General features: G+C 37.9%; 1 protein-coding gene across 5 annotated transcripts in view, besides 1 other annotated feature; it reads right to left on the bottom strand.

The window, feature by feature from the left end:
• Positions 1-19,494, bottom strand: part of FAR2 (fatty acyl-CoA reductase 2) — a 186,339-nt gene that overhangs the window by 105,617 nt on the left and 61,228 nt on the right. For 2 of the 5 annotated variants that reach the window (NM_018099.5, NM_001271784.2), the window contains exon 1: positions 6,106-6,334. The exons of the other annotated variants lie outside the window; for them this stretch is intronic. The gene's annotated coding sequence lies outside the window, so the exon portion shown is untranslated. Of the gene's footprint in view, positions 1-6,105; positions 6,335-19,494 lie in introns of those variants that run through there. 5 annotated transcript variants of the gene reach the window in all.
• Positions 460-1,105: an enhancer, noted in NCBI's record as "OCT4-NANOG-H3K27ac hESC enhancer chr12:29381828-29382473 (GRCh37/hg19 assembly coordinates)". NCBI's record gives its function as "activates a minimal SCP1, AML or CMV promoter by ChIP-STARR-seq in primed H9 embryonic stem cells {active_cell/tissue: H9 hESC(primed)}" and the evidence as "EXISTENCE:reporter gene assay evidence [ECO:0000049][PMID:30033119]".

Raw genomic sequence — 19,494 nt, 5'->3', positions numbered from 1 at the left:
GTATCCTCAGCACCAGCACAGTGCCTGAAGTTGTTGAAAGGCTGCAGGAAGAATGAATGCCGTTCCCTTTATCTAGAATGTTCTCCAGCTCTTCTGTGTTTTATCAGCTCCCAGTCATCCTTCAGATGTCAGTCTAAGAGTCACTTCCACAGAGAAGCTTTCCCTGACCTTCAGTATTCTGTCTAATCTGTCATTTAAGCCCTTTCCATATACTCTTTTTTTGTGACCACTTACCACAGTTGTAATGTTATGCTTATCTGTATGATACAATTGATTATGATTATTCTCTTACTGGACTTTAAACTCCATGAGGGCAGGAGTTTTAATTCATCTATCTGCTTTTGCTCATCATGGTTTCCTCTGAAAGTAGTGCAGAGCCCAGCATTTGGTAGACAATAAAGATTCCTTGAGTAAATGAAAAAATGGAGTGAATTAATAAATAAATGAGTTAAGTAACAAATAGATTTGGTCTTTTTTTTTCTTTAGTTTCTTTTTTAAAAACAGACCTAAAGCTTACAATTCTTTGAGTTTCTGACACCTTTATTTCGCCAACCAATTTATTTTTGTTCCTCAACACCACTTAACTTTTCATTTTATTTTCTTTAAATTGAGAGATGAAGTTGTCAGCAGGTAGGTCATGAATTTAAAGCAGGAGTGCTAGAATAATGATTCCCATCTCAGTCACCTGCAGAGCTTGTTTAACAATCAGACTTCCAAGCCTCAGGCCTCAGTTTTTCGTAAGGATCTATTAAGAAAGACCAGATAACTTTCAGGAGCCTCATACCTTATCTTATGTTGTTTCTTTATCCTTAGAAGAATTAAAAGGAGACCATAACTCAGAAATATATCAATTATCAAACAACAGGTGAACTGCAAATTGAAGCTCAGCTTGCCATACTCAGCGGGGAAGACAGGCTTTAGAATACACTCTTTCTTGCATTAAAATGCTTTTAAAAACAAGCATTGTTGACCTAACTGCAAAGAATGTCAAAACTGAGTAACTACAGGAAGAACATTGCTGGGTTTCTGCACGTGAAGAAAATGAAAAACAAAAAGGCCCCCAAAACCTTAAGTCTCCGTGTTTTTCTTCTGCTCAAGATAAAGACATTTTTGGCTGGGCACGGCAACTCATGCCTGTAATCCCAGCACTTTGGGAGGGCAAGGCCAGCGGATCACTTGAGGTCAGGAGTTTGAGACCAGCCTGGCCAACATGGCAAAACCTTTTCTCTACTGAAAACACAAAAATTAGCCAGGCATGGTGGCGGGCACCTGTGGTCCCAGCTACTCAGGAGTATGAGGTGGGAGAATGGCTTGAACCCAGGAGGCAGAGACTGCAGTGAGTCGAGACTGCGCCACTGCACTGCAACCTGGCTGATAGAGCCAGACTCGACTGTAAAAACAAACAAACACAAAAAAGACTGAGTTTCACTAATATACAGAAGGTCAGTAAGGGACATCTGTACTTCAGAGATTATTAAGATCTGCCAGAATATGATGAAAGCAAATTTGAATGAATCATTACAAAAATAATCAATCTTATGACAAGTTTTCTAAATGAAGTTTTAAAAATAATAAAATACTTTAAAATAATAACTTGTTTAAAATTTAAATCTTTAAAGTGACTTTAATTCTAAGAAAGAGTGCCATTTTCCAGATGAAAAAACAGAGGTATCACCCCAATATTGTAAAATAAAAAATCCTGACTTTTTGTTGTTGTTGTTCATTTGTTTCATTTGGAAACAAAGCAACCAACATCAAAGGCTGCAATGTAGGACTATTAGAACATTTTGCTGAGGAGAAGGTAAATTGATTAGTAAAGATAATGAAGTTTGAAGAACCTACTTCTTTTTTTTTTTTTCCTTTTTTTTATTATACTCTAAGTTCTAGGGTACATGTGCACAATATGCAGGTTTGTTACATATGTATACATGTGCCATGTTGGTGTGCTGCACCCATTAACTCATCATTTACATTAGGTATATCTCCTAATGCTATCTCTCCCCACCTACCCCCACCCCACGATAGGCCCCAGTGTGTGATGTTCCCCTTCCTGTGTCCAAGTGTTCTCATTAGAACTTACTTCTTAAAAGGAGAAAAATGGAAGCCAATTTTTTTTTTTTTACCTTAGCAAAGTATACCAATGAAATGTGCAGTTTTTGGTAAGTATTTTGGTTCTAGTGTTAAGTCTAAAACAAGGAAGGCTTTAATTACCCTAAGAAACTAAATGCAACAAAAAAAATCTTAGGAGAAAAAATTTTTCCTGCAGTCAAGAGAATGCTGCTTTTACCGACATTTTCTTATCTCTTATTTCAGTATTCTTGAAAAATTGATTGATTAATAAGGCAATTCTGTCTAGGTAAAACTGCCTGGAGACAATCAGTTGTTATATTCCTGTGTACAGGGCAAAATGACAAAAAGGATAACGCAGGAAACCTTGGGGCAAGTACTGTAAATTACAGAGTATCTGGTCGATGGAGAAGCAATTATGAAAGAAAAAGGACCTACTTCTTCCTCATAACTGAAATCACCCATTCATTGTTATTGACCCTAAGAAAGATGAAAGGGAGGAACGCCTGTTGTTAGGAGTCAAAGAGATAATAAGAAACCATTGAATCAGGAATAGGGGATGAACCATTATTTATCTATATTGACAATGTTTTGCTTCAGATATGTTGATTGTAATGTTTCTATTTTCTCTCAAATTCTTTCTCACAATGTTCTAATAACTTCTTTTAAAATTGCTAGTCAAAATGCCTTAAATAAAATGTTTTACCAGCTCTCAGCATCAAAGGGGTCAAATCTGGTGACAAACACCAGAATCATAAATATAACAATTATAGGCACGTAAGGTGCCCTGCGGAAAACAGAGCATCTCCACACTCTAAGAAATCTCTCATTCCTCCCAAAGATAGAACAAATAATCCCCTTAAAAAGGGGGAAAGTGACATTTGTTTTACATTTTATTTTCTAATCCCATTATTTTTTAAAAGATCTAAGTAAAGCAAGTCTTCTAAAAGTATGATATTCCACCTTCTTCCTTCTCATTGTGTTTTATGTAATGCTCCACCAGGTTATGCTTACCATCTTACAAATGGCTCTAGGTTTTGCTCTAAAAGAATTCAGTGGTGAATTCTTTTTGTGTAATACCATTACACACACAAAAAATGTGTAACACATTGGTAAACATTGGGTAATACCAATTCTTTTCATGTAATATCATCACACAAAAAAGCATGGTTAGAGGAATTTAGAGACACACAGGCTTTAAACCAGGATGGGACTAGGACTAAAGTGATTCCAAGGTGGAATGAAAAAAGTACAAAAATTAAATATCTAAACTCTCTGATAAGATGGGCAGAAGGTTATAAAATATATGACCACCCCACAAGACTCAATCAAATGTATTAGAATTTCATTTTGGAAGTGATTCACCACCATAAAAAAAGTTTGTTTCCCATAGTTTGAAAGAAACTCTTATAATTTAAACCTTTTTTTCTCCCCAGAGCAAATCTGCATATGAATTTTTGCTGTTTAACTGCTTAGAGGTACTTTATTAACAAAGATCTTGTCCCAGGGCTTTGTGAGCCTTCACTATTAAATGAAAAGTACAAGAGTTCAAATTTGAAGACAATTCTCACATCCTATGTTATTAATAAATAAAGCAAGAACACAGCCTGGGCTATAGGTGTGAAGAAGAAAGCCTTCTAATTCTCCTTGCTCACAATTTTTTTACTCTGAGTCAAATACAATCATAAACTAAACTGTATAATAGAACCGGAATGATATCTAACTTTTCAGTGCAAATATCATCCAACAAAATAGATAAGAATCACTAACATTTATTGGGCACTTACTATGTTGCAGACAATGTCCCACACATCATGCAATTATTTTATCATATAATCTTTACAATAACTCCATGAGGTAACATATAAAAATGCTCAGGGCAGAGAGCTTAAGTAATTTGTACGAGTCTGATTGACATCTGATTGCTGGGAGAAAGAGCAAGAACTGTCACCCAGGATCTCTATCTCCAGAGCCATATAGTCTCCTTTCCTGTAAGAAACTAGTAAGATATTTCTGGCTAAGTATTCTCTAGGGTAAAGAGCATGCACTTTCACCTTCACATGTGTGTTATTTCCAAACCATAGTCCTTTGTTTGGAAATGAAGAAAGCTGCAATCATTTTTGAAATTGAAAAAAGGTGAGGCTTTGTGAAGGTGCACTAATGTGATAAACAAAGCTGTGGCAGCTCCAGTGGAGACAGAAAATCATTCTCTTCATTTACCTTCGCTGCTTGTTTATTTTGGAATTTCCAAGTAAGCATTTGCCCCATTGTCTTAGGGCAGCGGAAAGGCTAGGTTCTATATGAGTTCTGATCCTTCTTTGAGGTGTACTCTGACTAGAAATAGTATTACAGAGCTTATTCCAGAGCACCTTCATCCAATTTTCCCACTGGAAAAAAATATGCGAATTTTTTAGAGCATTATGTAATTGGTACTGTCTTGTAACTGTAAGCTTTGATCAACAACAACAACAATAATAATATAGTAATAGTAACAACAATAGCTAACACTTTTTGTGCCAGGCCTTCTGCTAGGGGCTTCACATGTATTATCCCATTTAACCTTTACAATAATCTTAAAAGGCAGACCTCATTATTACAGATAAGACAACTGAGGCTCAAAGAAGTTAAACAAATTGTCTAAACGTTCTTTATTTACAAAGTTAACTAACTGCTTTTCATATTATTTATTTATTTATTGAGACAGGGTCTCACTCTGCCACCCAGATTGGAGTACAGTGGCACCATTACAGGTCACTGGAGCCTCGACCTCCCAGGCTCAAGTGATCCTCTCACCTCAGTCTCCCAAGTAGCTAGGACTACGAGAGTGCACCACCACACCTGGCTAATTCTTTTACTTTTTGCAGAGATGGCATCTTGCTATGTTGCCAAGGCTGGTCTCAAACTTGTGGCCTCAAGTTTGGAGGCCTCAAGTGGGAGGCACCTGTCTTGGCCTCCCAAGGTGTTAGGATTACAGGTCTGAGTCACTACACTCGGCTCTAACTACTTGTGAATTCATGTTATTTTTATATGCCTTTGCCTCAAGGAAGGATACAAGGCAATTAATATTCACTTGGGAACTCTTCAACTGTTCCATATAATCATGCATATTTCATATTATTGCAGTAATTCCATTTGCAATTTAAATACACTATTATCTTTTTAAAACATTACATACGTCTAATAAGTCACTGCTTTGGTATGTATAGAATTTGAACATGTCCCATAGAGAAGCCAGATGAAGAAAAAGAAACAAGTAAAATGTTTGTGGAATGAAGGCCCTGTTCCAGTTCGCCCATACCCAGCAGAATAGAACCATCGGCCTTCTGAGTACTTTGAAGTTGATTATTTAATGAAAAGCAAAAGGCAAAAATCTATAGTCAGGGACAAGATGGAATGTATAATCTCTGCTGTAAGTACAAAAATTAAGTTTTGTGTTTTAATTGATTTTCCTAGGCAAATTCAATAAAATGATCAAATGCAATTAAAGTATCATATTCTTCCCTGGAGCTCTCAAGTTCCCTGCTACTTTAATCTATGTTTGAATCCTATATGAAAAGCCTTAGACTATAAATATGCACGAGGTATGCCAAAGTGACACTTGGTGATACAGAAACTTACTGCAGAATTGAATTTCAGAGACTGGAAACAACTGTCTTCCTCCATCCATCCTTCCAACCCCCTCAACCCCAAAAAGTTCAGCATTTCATTTCATGCAGTCATAGTGAACTTGGTCAGTTTTTCTTCACTCAAATGCTTCAACAACTTGCAACAATTATTTGGCTTGGACTTCACAGCACAAGGTGAACCAAGTACTTATTTTTAACCAATGTAGACCAGATTTCTTGATTCTGCTTCACAGAAAATTAGTCATCGATTTCTTAGGATAAATGAGTTCTGCTGATCTACAGTGCAGACCAAGGAAAAGTGTAAATGAGGTAAAAAGACCAGTCTCTCACCCTAAGATTCATTCAGTTTGTCACTCCTGTGAATAACGTTAGCAACAGCTGAGACTGCATTTGTTGCTTGGTTTTCTCTTACCTTTTTGTCTAGTTTCTCTGGCTTCAGGTTCCTCTATGACCAGAATACGAGCTGAGCAGACAATGTAGCAGAAAAATTTAAATTACTTCTAAAGAGCAATGAGAGGGGCTCTCACAGTATCCCAAGACCAGCAGCTTTTCAGAAGAACCTTCAGAAGAATGGTTCATCACACTATTATATCCCCATGCCTGAAGTGCAGCTCACCCCAAGCTGAATTGAAAGGCTCTGTGGGCTGAGCTTACCAGGGACAACTGCAATCATCTTTGTATTGTGAAATCCAAGTAATGTGTTCTAGTCCTAAAATGTTGTCACTGCAGCCCTCAGCATGACAGAGTTTGAGAAACGTAATTTGGTTATCTCTATGGTGATCAGAAATGGAGTATCCAGTCCTTTTGTTAATTCATTCGATCAGCCATTTACCCAACAACAAAAATTATTGATGACCTGCTAAATACTGCACTATGTTTTAGAGATTAAAAGTGCTGAAGATGAAGAATATGACACAGTATATGGACTTCCACAAATGAATGTCATCCCAATTCTCCTACCTACCTCCCAGTTTTATGTGTTTGCTCAGAGAAAGGAAGGAGAAGAGATTTACAGAAGTAGGAATGCACTGTAGTAAACACATCATCTCAAAAGTTATAGTGCTAGGTTCCAATCACAAACCTGACATATTATAATTGAGTAACTTCAGACAAGCTTTGAAACTGCTATGTGTCTCAGTTTCTCTGTCTGTAATCCTGGGATGGGGCTAGTAATAGTACTTCCCTACAGACTGTTAGTAATACCTCCCAATAGACTGTTGGGAGGACTAAGAGATTAAACCATGCAAATGATTCAGGACAGTACCTGGCAAATACTAAGCACAATATAAATACTACAAATATTTTCATTACCCTCTGAGTTTAATCAGATTTCCTAGAATTCATTTGGACCAAATTGTCAGTGTGTGTGCAATTCTGCTAGATAATTTTGTTCTTATGAAGACAGCTGGCGTCAGTTACCTATAATGTCATTATGAGTAATGATGGAGCTTATTTTCCAGGTCTAGAAAAGAACTTGTAAAGTACATATAGCATTCTAAATTGGTCCTTATTAGTGGGTGAATTCAAATTTGAAAGATTAACAAAGACAAAGACTTCCTCTTTGACCCAACTTTAGTCAGGCTCCTCTTCTGAACTAAGCCTTGACATTGACCTCCTGAACCCTGCTTTAGCAAAGAATCCTATTAAGCCAGTTTATTGAGAATTCTCCTCACTCTTGATATCTAGAGTGATATCAAGGTGTCCCATGAAGAATCCAGATGAAGAAAAAGAAACAGGTAAAATATCACTCTAGATATCAAGAGTGAGGAGAATTCCTCTCCTCCTACCCCCTTCCTTGATACCTTAAGCAAGTTCCTCATAGTAACTGTCCATTTTCTCTCCTACTCTAAATCCCCACTTGTCCCTATTTGTATTTGGAGTTGAATTCACTCTCTCTCCCCTAGTGCAATAGTCTTGACCCCTATTGCAATAGTCTTGAATAAAATCTTTCTTGACACTTAAAAAATGTGTTTGAATAATTTCTCTTTAACAATCAAAACAATGAAATATCACTATGATTGAAACATTAGTAAGTCTCTACACAAGGCAATGGGGACAAGTTCAAATAGATTGGAAGAGTATGTAATGCTCAGAGACCGATTTTCTTATAACAGTGAGTGATGAATGTGAAGAGTGGTCGATCATAAAAGAAAATTTGGGCCAGGCACAGTGGCTCATGCCTGTAATCCTAGCACTTTGGGAGGCCGAGGCGGGCAGATCACTCGAGGTCAGGAGTTTGAAACCAGCCTGCCCAACATGGTGAAACCCGTCTCTACTAAAAATACAAAAAAATTAGCTGGGTGTGGTAGTGGGCACCTGTAATCCCAGCTACTTGGGAGGCTGAGACAGGAGAATTGCTTGAACCTGGGAGGCGGAGGTTGTAGTGGGCCAAGATCATGCCACTGTATTCCAGTCTGGGTGACAGAGCGAGACTCCGTCTCAAAAAAAAAAGCAAGTTTGGAAAATTTGAAGCAATTCTCTGAGCAGCATCTGTAATTGTATTTCCCATTAAAAATAAAAGGTTTAAAGTCAACTCAGGATGACCCTAAAGCGAGCTCATTTTCTAAAATTGGTGGTAATAATAATGATATATCATTCTTACGTATATAGCATCATGCCTGGCTGCAGGATTAAATTGGGGGAGAAAACTGGCTTTGAGATAGACCATTTAGCAGGAAATAAAGTGTCTAAAATAATTTGACAAACTTGAAAGACAAAAGAGAAATCGAATAGATGGGGTATTTAAAGTAGTTAAATTTCATTCAGTCTGAATATGTGTGTACTAGAAGGAATTAATAGTTATGATATTTGCATTTTCCAATTGAAAACAATCCTTTAGTTTTCCAAATATATCAGTCAGATTGCAGAAACCCTAACTGGGAGACAGGGAAGAGGTTATGTTACAGTAGGTAGCTGGTCAGGCAAGAGCAGGGTGGGAAAAGGCTCCCCGCCCCGACCAGGAATGTCAGGCAACCATCAGATGATGGTCAGGTGGTTATTACACTTTCTCTAAAATAATAATTGGTCCTAGTCGGCATCAGGGAAAGGCAGTTCTCCCAATAAGTAGAAAAACCTGAAACTGGTGATTAGCTTCCAGATAAGATCTCTGGAGTTGGGCAAGTGGGCTTGAGCATGCGCACTAAGAGGTAAAGCGGCTGATTTTACGGGTATATGACCTTACAGGAATACGCCCCTGGTAAGGGAGTGTTGTTACCAGTTATTGGAGTTGTACGCACGCTCACTTCATGCCTCAAGTGAGCATGCGCACAACTCCAGTAAACACACTGCGCCAGTAGCCCCTCCCAAGCGCTGGCAGCCCAATGTGGATAAGGACAGCCTGCCCCAAGGGAAGAATCGGGGAGAAGGGACACAAGACCCCAGAAGTATGCCAACATATAAAACCCTAAGTCGAAGGTCAAACCATGCACTTGATCTCTCACGTCGCCTGCTTGGCCCTCTTCCAAGTGTACTTTACTTCCTTTGATTCCTGTTCTAAAGCTTTTTAAATAAACGTTCACTCTTGCCTCGGACTCTCACTGTGCCTTTTGTCCCTTGGTCAAATTCTTTCTTCTGAGGAGGCAAGAATTGAGGTTGCTACAGAATCGTATGGATATCCCACTGGTAACATACTTTGGTGCCGTGTGACTGGGATGTTACACTGCTAACAATGAGAGAAAATGTTGATGAATGGAGAAAAAAATGGGCATTTACACTAAATATCATAAACAATTTTTTGTCAGTTACTTTTTAAATAGGTAACCACCATATTTTCTTGAAGTATAAATAGTAAAAAGGCCTTGATTTTAAAGCTCAAATTGTAGATTTCTGCATACTCATCCATTAAATTAATAGAGAAACGTAGCAAGTCATTTAAGAGCACAAATTCCACCTCTCTTAAGGATTACTACAAATTAAAATCTTTCCTATATGCTCAAAGACATTAACCCATAGGATTCCCTATACCTTTTGATTTATGGAAAGAAACTAGACTAAGTCTTGCACTGTACTCCGGGAAAGAGCTTTGAGTGGGTGATGCTCTAAATCTATATCTGACATTCATCATCAGGGAAAATGTAACCAAGAAAGGGTCTGCATGGAGGAAGTGAAAGAGGTCTTAACGAAAAATTGACACAGCCAGAGTCCATTAAAAATTCACCTTGAACGTCAAAGCAAAGCCCTGGGTTCTAGTGCCAGCTCTGTTTCTAATTAGTACTGTGACTACTGCCAGGACTCAACTGGATCATTTGTAATGTGCAGGGATCATAATATCTAAGTACCCCACTAGCTCTAAAATTCCTTGATTTGTAATGGGTAATCAAATACAAAATAAAATAATTGATTTTAAGCACAATAATAAAAGATTGGCTCCAAAACACTTCAGATTCTGGGTTTCTAAATCTGGCTTGAATGTTTCTCTTTTTCATTCAATTTTTCATCCTCAAAAAGGAAAAGAAAAGTTTTCTTTATTTGAGTTCTTAAAAAAACATAGCTTTTAGGATAAAGGAAAACGATGATATCACTTTCCTCCTTTGGGGGTCTTCTGGAAATGAAAGAGCTGCTGTCAGCATCACAGATATGGGCATTGGCAGAATGACTTATATGTATGTAACCAAGCCAGTTTCAGTTTTTAAGCATTTAAATATATCTAAATTTCAATGGTTCCTTCTCTTTTTTTTTTCTTGTCTACTCAGAGTTAAAACACATTTACTATAAATTATTATCAGAAGGTTTTCTCATATCCATGATGCAGATTCCCTAGGTACTCATCTAGGTGCTGATGTACAGCAGTGAACTAAACAAAGTCCCTGTTCTCATGGAGTGTGTCCTCTATCAGACCTGTCCTGCTTTAACAATATTGAAAGTTCCTGTTTATGTAAAAGTATGAGGAAAATAAATACCACCTATGTTATGTTATGATATTGTTCCACTTGCTTCAGGTATTCTTTTCCCCAAGAGAGATTATAGCAATTTACAATCCCAGCAGCAGAGTAATTTTTATTTTACGTATTGAACATTACTTTAGTGTTTACTATGGGCCAGGCTGTTTGATCCTCATATAAATAAATCCTGTGAGGTAGGTAATAATAGTACCTATCTGGGGTATAGAATTCTAACGTGGGCTGGGCACAGTGGCTTATGCTTGTAATCCCAGCACTTTGGGAGGCAAAGGTGGGTGGATCACTTAAGCCCAGGAGTTCAAGACCAGCCTGGGCAACATGGTAAAACCCTGTCTGTACCAAAAATGCAAAAATTAACCAGGCATGGTCTCATGTGCTTGTAGTCCCAGCTACTCAAGACGCTGAGGAAAGGGGATTGCTTGATCCCAGGCAGAGGTTGCAGTGAGCTGAGATGGCACCACTGCACTCCAGCCTGGGCGACAGAGCAAGACCCTGTCTCTAAATAAATAAATAAATAAATAAATAAAATTCTAACACGGAAGGTTTCTATTTTCAGCATTTAAAATATATCATTCCATTATCTTCTGATTTTCATGGTTTCTGAGAAGTTTGCCGTTATGCTCACTGTGCTTTTCCTAAATATAACTTTTTCCCCTTCTAGCTGCTTTTAAGATTTTTCTCTGTATTTTTGTTTTACAGTCATTTTCTAGGTGTTATTTTCTTTGTGTTCATCCTGACTGGCATAACCTAAGATTTTTTACCATGTGAGTTAACATTTTAAAAACCAATTTTGTAAAACTCTTAGTGATTCTTTTCAAATATTTCTTCTGCCCTATTCTTTTTCCTGTCTTTCTGGAACTTCAGTTACACATATATTTGACTGTTTGAGATTGTCCATGTGCTTTTTCATTCCCTGTTCAGTTTTAGCTTTCATTCCTTTCTTTTCTCCTTGCTTCAGTTGGGATCATTTCTATTAATACACCTTCAAGTTCACAGATTCTTTCTCTCTTCTGTGAATATTATATAATCAAGCCCATCTTTTTTTTTTTTGAGACGGAGTCTTGCTCTGTCACCCAGACTGGAGTGCAGTGGCATGATCTCGGCTCACTGCAAGCTCCACCTCCCAGGTTCACGCCATTCTTCTGCCTCAGCCTCCTCAGTAGCTGGGACTACAGGTGCCCGCCATCATACCTGGTTAATTTTTTTTGTATTTTTTAGTAGAGACAAGGTTTTACCGTGTTAGCCAGGATGGTCTGGATCTCCTGACCTTGTGATCCTCCCGCCTTGGCCTCCCAAACTGCTGGGATTACAGGCGTGAGCCACCACACCCGGCCAATCAAGCCCATCTTAATTTTAGATATTTATCATTCAGTTCTACAGTATCATTTTATTATTTATTCTTCCTCCTCCTCCTCCTCCTCCTCTTTGTCTTCTTCTTCAGAATTCCATTTCTTTTTTGGAATTCTACATTTCTTAGTTCATTTTATGTTTCTTTTCTATTAATTTCTTTAACACGTTTGCAATAGTTATTTTAAAGAGCTTTCCTGTGAATTCCAACATTTGTGTCCTCTATGTGCTATTTCTATTGACTAGCTTTTTTCTCTTGACTATGGGTCACAGTTTCCTGTCATAATTATTTATTTTATGCTGGAACATTGTATTTTAAAAAACCATATAAAGGGGAGTAAATATATTTTTCTCCAGAGAGGCATACTGTTTTCTCTGTTAGACAGCTAGGGAGAGTTTAATTACTTCAATCCAATCAGGAACTGAGTTGGGTTGAAGCTGAATTTAAATTTTGGTAAGTTCCAGCTCACATCTGATTTTGAATATCTTTAGGATGAGATGTGTCCTGTGTGTATTATAGGCTTTTTCTTCTAGCTTGACTTTGGATTTTAAGCACCAGGAGTTAATGGAAATCTCTCTCTGCCTTTCTAACCCCACCTCCAGCTTCCTGTACTGCTTCTTCTGGAAACTCAGCAAAAGTCCCATGGGGACAATCAGCAGCTAGGAAGAATCAGCTCTATGTTTTGGGTTCAGTTTTTACTGTTGCAATCTGTCATGCCAGCTAAGATTCTTGGTGTAATACTTGTTTCTCCTTTCTTCAGAAAGGTCTCAAGCCAGATTCTCCACCTTCCCATACCCGGACTGAGCAGATGCCTCCAGGAAAGTGACCTCTAGCATTCACCCATCTAGAAAGGACTTCTCTAAATTTTCATTTCTTTAGACCATTTTTATTTGTAGTTTTTTGAAGTTTTTTAAAAAGTGTATGATAACTTATCTATTTTTCCTACATTCTAGTCAGAATATCCTAATCTCCTACATTTTAACCATGTGCCTGGTAGGGGTAAGTTATACTAAAGAGCCAAAATATTTTTTAAATGTGTCATTTTCTTTTAGTCTTTAAATGCCAGCGATTAGAGAGCCTTACCTTATGACGGATAGCTCTGGTGTTGCATTATTGTTATTCGTTTAGTTTCTTTGGCAAAGTACTGTGAATATCTGAGCACACATCTACCATTGTACACCAAAGTGCTTTGTAGCTCTTTTGATAAAATCTAGTTTCTCCTACGTGATATGAAAAGTTTAATAATTTGACATTATGGAAGCAAAATGCTGGACTTATATTTTGGTATATTTTTGGAAGTCTAAAATATTGAAATGCCTGAAATTAACTCAAAATGCTATATGTTCTGGGCTGTCAGAAAGAAAAATAAAACCCCTGAAAAGGCTAACAGCAGCCTTTTTTTTCAGCTGTTTCTTATTAGCTGCAGGTTGTTATGATGTGAAGGCATAAAGTGCAGTTGATGGGGTTAGGAGATTTGAAAGGTTTTATAATCAGTGGGCGCTCACATGTAAAATTTTGTAGAAGTTTCCCTTTCTGAATCAGGCTTAAAATGACATAGATCCTTATCTCATTGCAGCATCTGCTGTACACATGAGAGCAATAAGAGATTCCCAGAGTCAATGAACCCAAGATCCCCAATCCCCATCAACTCCATGAACTGTGTGTGACCAAAGCCCTAAAGGACAACAACCAAAGGGGAGGAAATTCCTGGTAACATAAAAACATAACAGTATTGGGCAGTATCATTGAAGATACCAGTGAAATAGAGCAGTCATTGGGTGGGACGTTGTAAATAAGACTGCTGAAGGACAGGGCTTTCTAAAAAGGCTTCCCTGAAGAAAATTACCATGGAGGAGCCTGGAGGTAGATAGTGTCAGATGAGAACTGTTTCTAGATTAATTAATTTAAGGTAGTTCCTAACACTCTGGAAATTGTCACAGTCCCATGAGGTTTCAGAGACCAGCTGAAGATCTGGGTAATATCTTGCTTAATCAGAAGGGCAAGGGATTCAGTTAGGGATATAAGTTTACTTCAGCCTGTGGCACAATTTGGGGTGCCCTAACTCAGCCCAGAGAGCTGAGGTAGAGTTATGTTGACCATGAGGATGCAGAAGGGTGAACCCTAGGAGGAGAAGGATTCATAGGGCCATGGTTATATATTTAAAGCTCTCCTTGGACCTCAAACTCAATGAGAGTAAGGGAAATCGTTCTTATACTCTTTTAAAAATAATTTGTGCATATCACATATTCATTCCATTTAATGACTATTTTTGTTTATATATTGATATATTAATTTTATTTATAAACTATAACCACAGTGTGTCTAAGATAGGCCTTGGTGACAGTGGAACCAACATAGAATCTGTGGTTTGGATTCTAAAATATTTAATGATAATTACCTCAAAGTTAAGATTTTGTTAATATGAAGCTATTACAGACATCCTCAAAGACACTGAATTTACCTAAAAGTGCATATTGATAACAGATTTGATTTTTTCCTAACATCTAAATTACTGTTTCCAAGAAAGTGGGATTTTTCTTTATTTAACAGATACGTTTCTTAATTATTTGATCAGTTTCCATGTCAAAAATAATGTACAAATGAAAGATGCCTGTGACTACGGGAGCTTAACCAAAACAACAGACCAAACATAACATCAATATACAGCTTAAGCTCATTCACTCATCTTCTTACAAACATTTCTACATCTTTTATTTTTCTTTCCCTTTCTTTGTTTCTACCTCTTTGTTGGACATACAAGACAAAAGCATGAGGTTTCTTGTTTTTTAAATTTAATAAAGCTTTATGTACTATGGTCTTCATATTTAGCTCAGAAGTATGTATCTATTTTTGTTAATCAAATGAAATGTAAACTCTTCATTATACATCAAGATCCTACATGAGCTGTCTCTCATTACATATCCATTTCTCTCTCATGACTACACTGTAGGTCCTTTAATAATTTTTCTGATTCTTGAACATGCCACAGTCATTTCTGCCTCAGAGATTTTGCCTTCGCTCTTCTTTGAATATTATACTCTTGCACTAGATCTTAGCATGACTGCTTCTTTTATTACATTCAGGTCTCAGCTCACAATTTCAATTTCTCAAGAATGCCTTTCTCACCTTTCTCTAGCCACCCACTAATCTAATTCTCTCTTTCCCTGTCGTCAGTCATATCACCTATGTTCACGTTCTTTATTTTTTTAATTATTATTATTATTATTATCATTTTATTTTCAGATGGAGTTTCTCTCTGTTGCCCAGGCTGGAATGCAATGGTGCAATCTTGGCTCACTGCAACTTCCACCTCCCTGGTTCAAGCCATTCTCCTGCCTCAGCCTCCTGAGTAGCTGGGATTACAGGCACCCACCCCCACGCCTAGCTAATTTTTTTATTTTTAGTAGAGATGGATTTTACCATGTTGGTCAGGCTGGTCTCGAACTCCTGACCTCAGATGATCCACCCACCTCAGTCTCCCAAAGTGCTGGGATTACAGGCATGAGCCACTGTGCCCAGTCCCATGTTCCTGTTCTTATTCATGTTCATGTTCTTGTGTTCTAGGTTCATGTTCTCATTTATTTATTTGCTAAACCAGCTTTCCTTAAATAATGTAAGTTCCACGAGGACAGAAACATCGTCTGTCTCATTACTTCTGTTTCACCAGCAATTAGAACACTTTCTGGCACATGATAGGCAACAAACATGAAGAAATGAGTGAATAATTTTTTTCTCTTCATTTAGAGTGTGTAATGTGCTCCTAGTAAGGCCTACTTTATATGCCTGAAGTCTGGTTAGGAAAAATATTGCATCAACATTTAATCAGCAAGTGGTATTCTCAAATACCATGCATAAAATCACTAAGCAAATCAGAAGAGCAATATTCTTTCAGTATTATTGGAATAACGCATCCAAGCTAAAAGCTTCTTGAAAGACAGGTTGACAAATTAAATGAAAATTGATGACTTGGATGACGAAATGTGCTTAAATTTGCAAGTGTGCTCAAATGTGATGGCATTTCTGAAGGCAAAATAAGAAACTTTGAGGTGTGGATTTGGGGTAACTCTGGAGTGGAACTTCAGATTATATTTATTATTAATCCAAAGCTCTCTGGTGTTTTCTTATACAAATTATTGGTTCTAATCAGACTCCTTCCATTAACTGCCACAAAGTTTGCCATCTTGGGGTTGAGTGGAGCTGGGTAAATTCATTTAAAGGGAAGTTTACTTAAAGGAGGTCAAAGCATGAAGGATGGAGATGGTTTAGGTTGACTGCGGCACACATTTTGTAGAAGGCAACAAAGGGGATAGGGCAAGAAGAATAAGTTGGAAACCAATTACAGATAGACTTAATCTTTTTTTTTTTTTTTTTGAGACAGAGTCTCCTTCTGTCACCCAGGCTGGAGTGCAGTGGCACGATCTCAGCTCACTGCAACCTCCGTCTCCCGGATTCAAGCGATTCCCCTGCCTCAGCCGCCTGAGTAGCTGGGATTACAGGCGTACACCACTACACCCGGTTAATTTTTGTATTTTTAGTAGAGACAGGGTTTCACCATGTTGACCAGGCTGGTCTCAAATTCCTGGCCTCAGGTGATCTACCCGCCTTGGCCTCCCAAAGTGCTGGAATGACAGGCGTGAGCCACCGCGTCCGGCTGATAGACTTAATTTTATTGTACTCATATATGGCAGGGGCCTTTATGATTCAGTGCTCATATGTGCCCTCATTTTGTATTTCTATTAATGTTCTATGGCCTCTGCAGTGAATTTGTGTAGGTTTTACCCATAGTAATTTTATTCCAGTAAGGGCTATTATTAGAGTCCTACTCATCTTCTGCTTGTTGCTACAATAAAACACATGCTAAGGGAGCTGAACTTTGTCACTTTGAAGGAGGAAATGGTGAGACGCCAAATGCTTCTGAATAGGAGACTTACAAGGCAGAGATATTCTGTAGGGATAAATTTGATGGACTACACACTATATATGGGAAGGAAGTTTGAAGAAGGAAAGACCAATTATTATGCTATTGTAATTTTTAGATAAGAGACAACAAAACCTATCCTGTGACTTAGTGGAATGAAGAAGGGATGAATGACACTACAAAGGAAAAATGATAATAATTATTTAGCCCTTATTTTGTGCAAGTTACTCAGCTAAGTATTTTACACGTTATCTTGTTTGATGTTAAGAAACATGCCCAAGGGCATTCAGCTATTAATAGCAGGATAATTCAAACCCAAGTTTGGCTCCTGCAAAAACGATTCTGCTAACCATGAGACTATAGCAACTGGTTATAATTATGGAGAAAGAAGAAGTAGTTAAAAAGAAGTTTAGGTAATAAAACTTGGTAATGCCGTTTTATGGGGGAAAAGGATGAATATCATTTGGATATCTCAAGTTTGCAGTATTGGCTGGGAATGTAGGAGGGCAATTTCAGGAGATGGTGGAAACTCAGGTCTGGGGACCTGGCAAGAATTCAAAGCTGGACACAAATTTGGGGGTCATCTATATATGGAATAGAATATAAATTATGAGTAATTATGCCAAATGATAGGAAAAGAAGACATAAGAAAAGGAGATAAAAGATAGCATTCTGAGTTATTGTAAGTATAGAAGATTTAAAACAGGACAGAGAAGAGCAGTTAGAGCAGTAAAAGTGAAACCAAGGATGGAGGTCACAATCATGGAGTGGAACTACCAAGGACAGTTAGTGGTTAGGGGTAAATGGAATAGAATGGTCAGCAAGAATAAAGACCTAAAATGGGTCACTAGATTCAGCAATTATTTTTTTCTAAAAGAACATATTCATTTTAATTTTAAGGCAGAGGTAGAAGTGGAAGCCAGATTTTTAAGTATTTGCTTTAAGTTGTCTCAGGATTAGATTCATATAATTTTATTGGTAGTAGCTTGATGAATAGGTATTTGTTCTCAAAAAATAGGATAAAATATTTCTGAACGTACTTTGAGAATTTGTCTTTTATTTATTTATTTTGAGACAGAGTCTTGCTCTGTCACCCAGGCTGATCCCTCTGAAGGCACTAGGGAAGGATCTGTTCCAGGCCTCTCTCTCCTAGCTTCTGGTATTTTGTTGGCTCATGACAGCAAAACTTCGTTATTCACATGGTTTTCTCCCTGTGTGTGTGTGTGTCTCTGTGTCCAAATTTTCCCTTTTCATAAGAATACCAGTCATACTAGATTAGGAGTCCACTCTGCTTTGGGATGACCTCGGCTTAAGTAATTATATCTGTGACAACAGTTATTTCCAAATAAAGTCACATTCTGAGCTACTGGGATTAAGACTTCACCATATGAATTTTGGTAGAACATGATGCCACTCACATAGCACCATCTTTTTCAATCTATTTTTTCTGCAGCTATGATTTTTCTACAGCTATGAAGTTACAGGGAGTTGATTCTCTCGTAAGTCACCATTGCAGCTCAGTAACTTAAAGGGTCAGTTGCTCGCTTATGATGGCACAACTACTGCAATAGGAGCAGAAAAACCTGCATTCTGACCCTGAGCCAACCAGTTACTAGACATGCACTGAATTTTTCTGAATATAGTTTTCTAAACTTGTTGATATACTTAACTTGCTAGGATAGACTTATGTGACAACATTATGATCGGTCAAATATAATAATGTATATGCATTTCATAAATGTAAAGCACTCTTTAAAGTCTTAGAAAGAGGCTAGGAGGAGCTTATCTGTCTTTTTGACTGGGTTATGTAAGAACACCCACAAGATATTCAAGATATTCTTTTTTTCTTTTTGAGACGGAGTATTGCTCCATTGCCCAGGCCGGAGTGCAGTGGCGTGATCTCCGGTCACTACAACCTCCGCTTCCCAGGTTCAAGCAATTCTCCTGTCTCAGCCTCCCAAGTAGTTGGGATTATAGGTGTGAGCCACCGCACCTGGTCCACAAGATATTCTTAAGAAGAAGAATGCAACTCAGCAGAAGCCAGACTAAAAATCAACCCTACAGAGATCAGTTTCATGAAAACCTACATATGGCTAATATATATATATGCACACACACACACATACACACACACACTATAGGCATGAAAGTAGTAAATGACTCTCCCACTTATAAGAATGATATAGTTTTTTTTTTGTTTTTAAGACGGAGTCTCACTCTGTCACACCCAGTACAGTGGCACAATCTTGGCTCACTGCAGCCTCCGCATCCCGGGTTCAAGTGATTCTTCTGCCTCCAGAGTAGCTGGGACTACAGGCCCATGCCACCGCACCCGATTAAGTTTTCTATTTTTAGTAGAGACGGGGTTCCAGCATATTGGCCAGGCTGGTCTCAAACTTCTGACCTCATGATCTGCCCACCTTGGCCTCCCAAAGTGCTGGGATTACAGGCATGAGCCCAGCCAATACAGTTTTACAAGAGTTAAAAAAGAAATCATATTTGGAATGGCCAGCTTAGTCCTCTGCCAACTGGCATCACAATGAATATGTAACAGAAAGCCTAAGTCACTGCGGAATATTCATCTATTCTTATTGCCAGAATCTCTACTGTTTTTATATACATAAATATATTTTTACA

Source organism: Homo sapiens, chromosome 12 (genome assembly GCF_000001405.40).
Source record: "Homo sapiens chromosome 12, GRCh38.p14 Primary Assembly".
NCBI lineage: Eukaryota > Metazoa > Chordata > Mammalia > Primates > Hominidae > Homo > Homo sapiens.
This window is presented reverse-complemented; position numbering and strand designations above follow the sequence as displayed.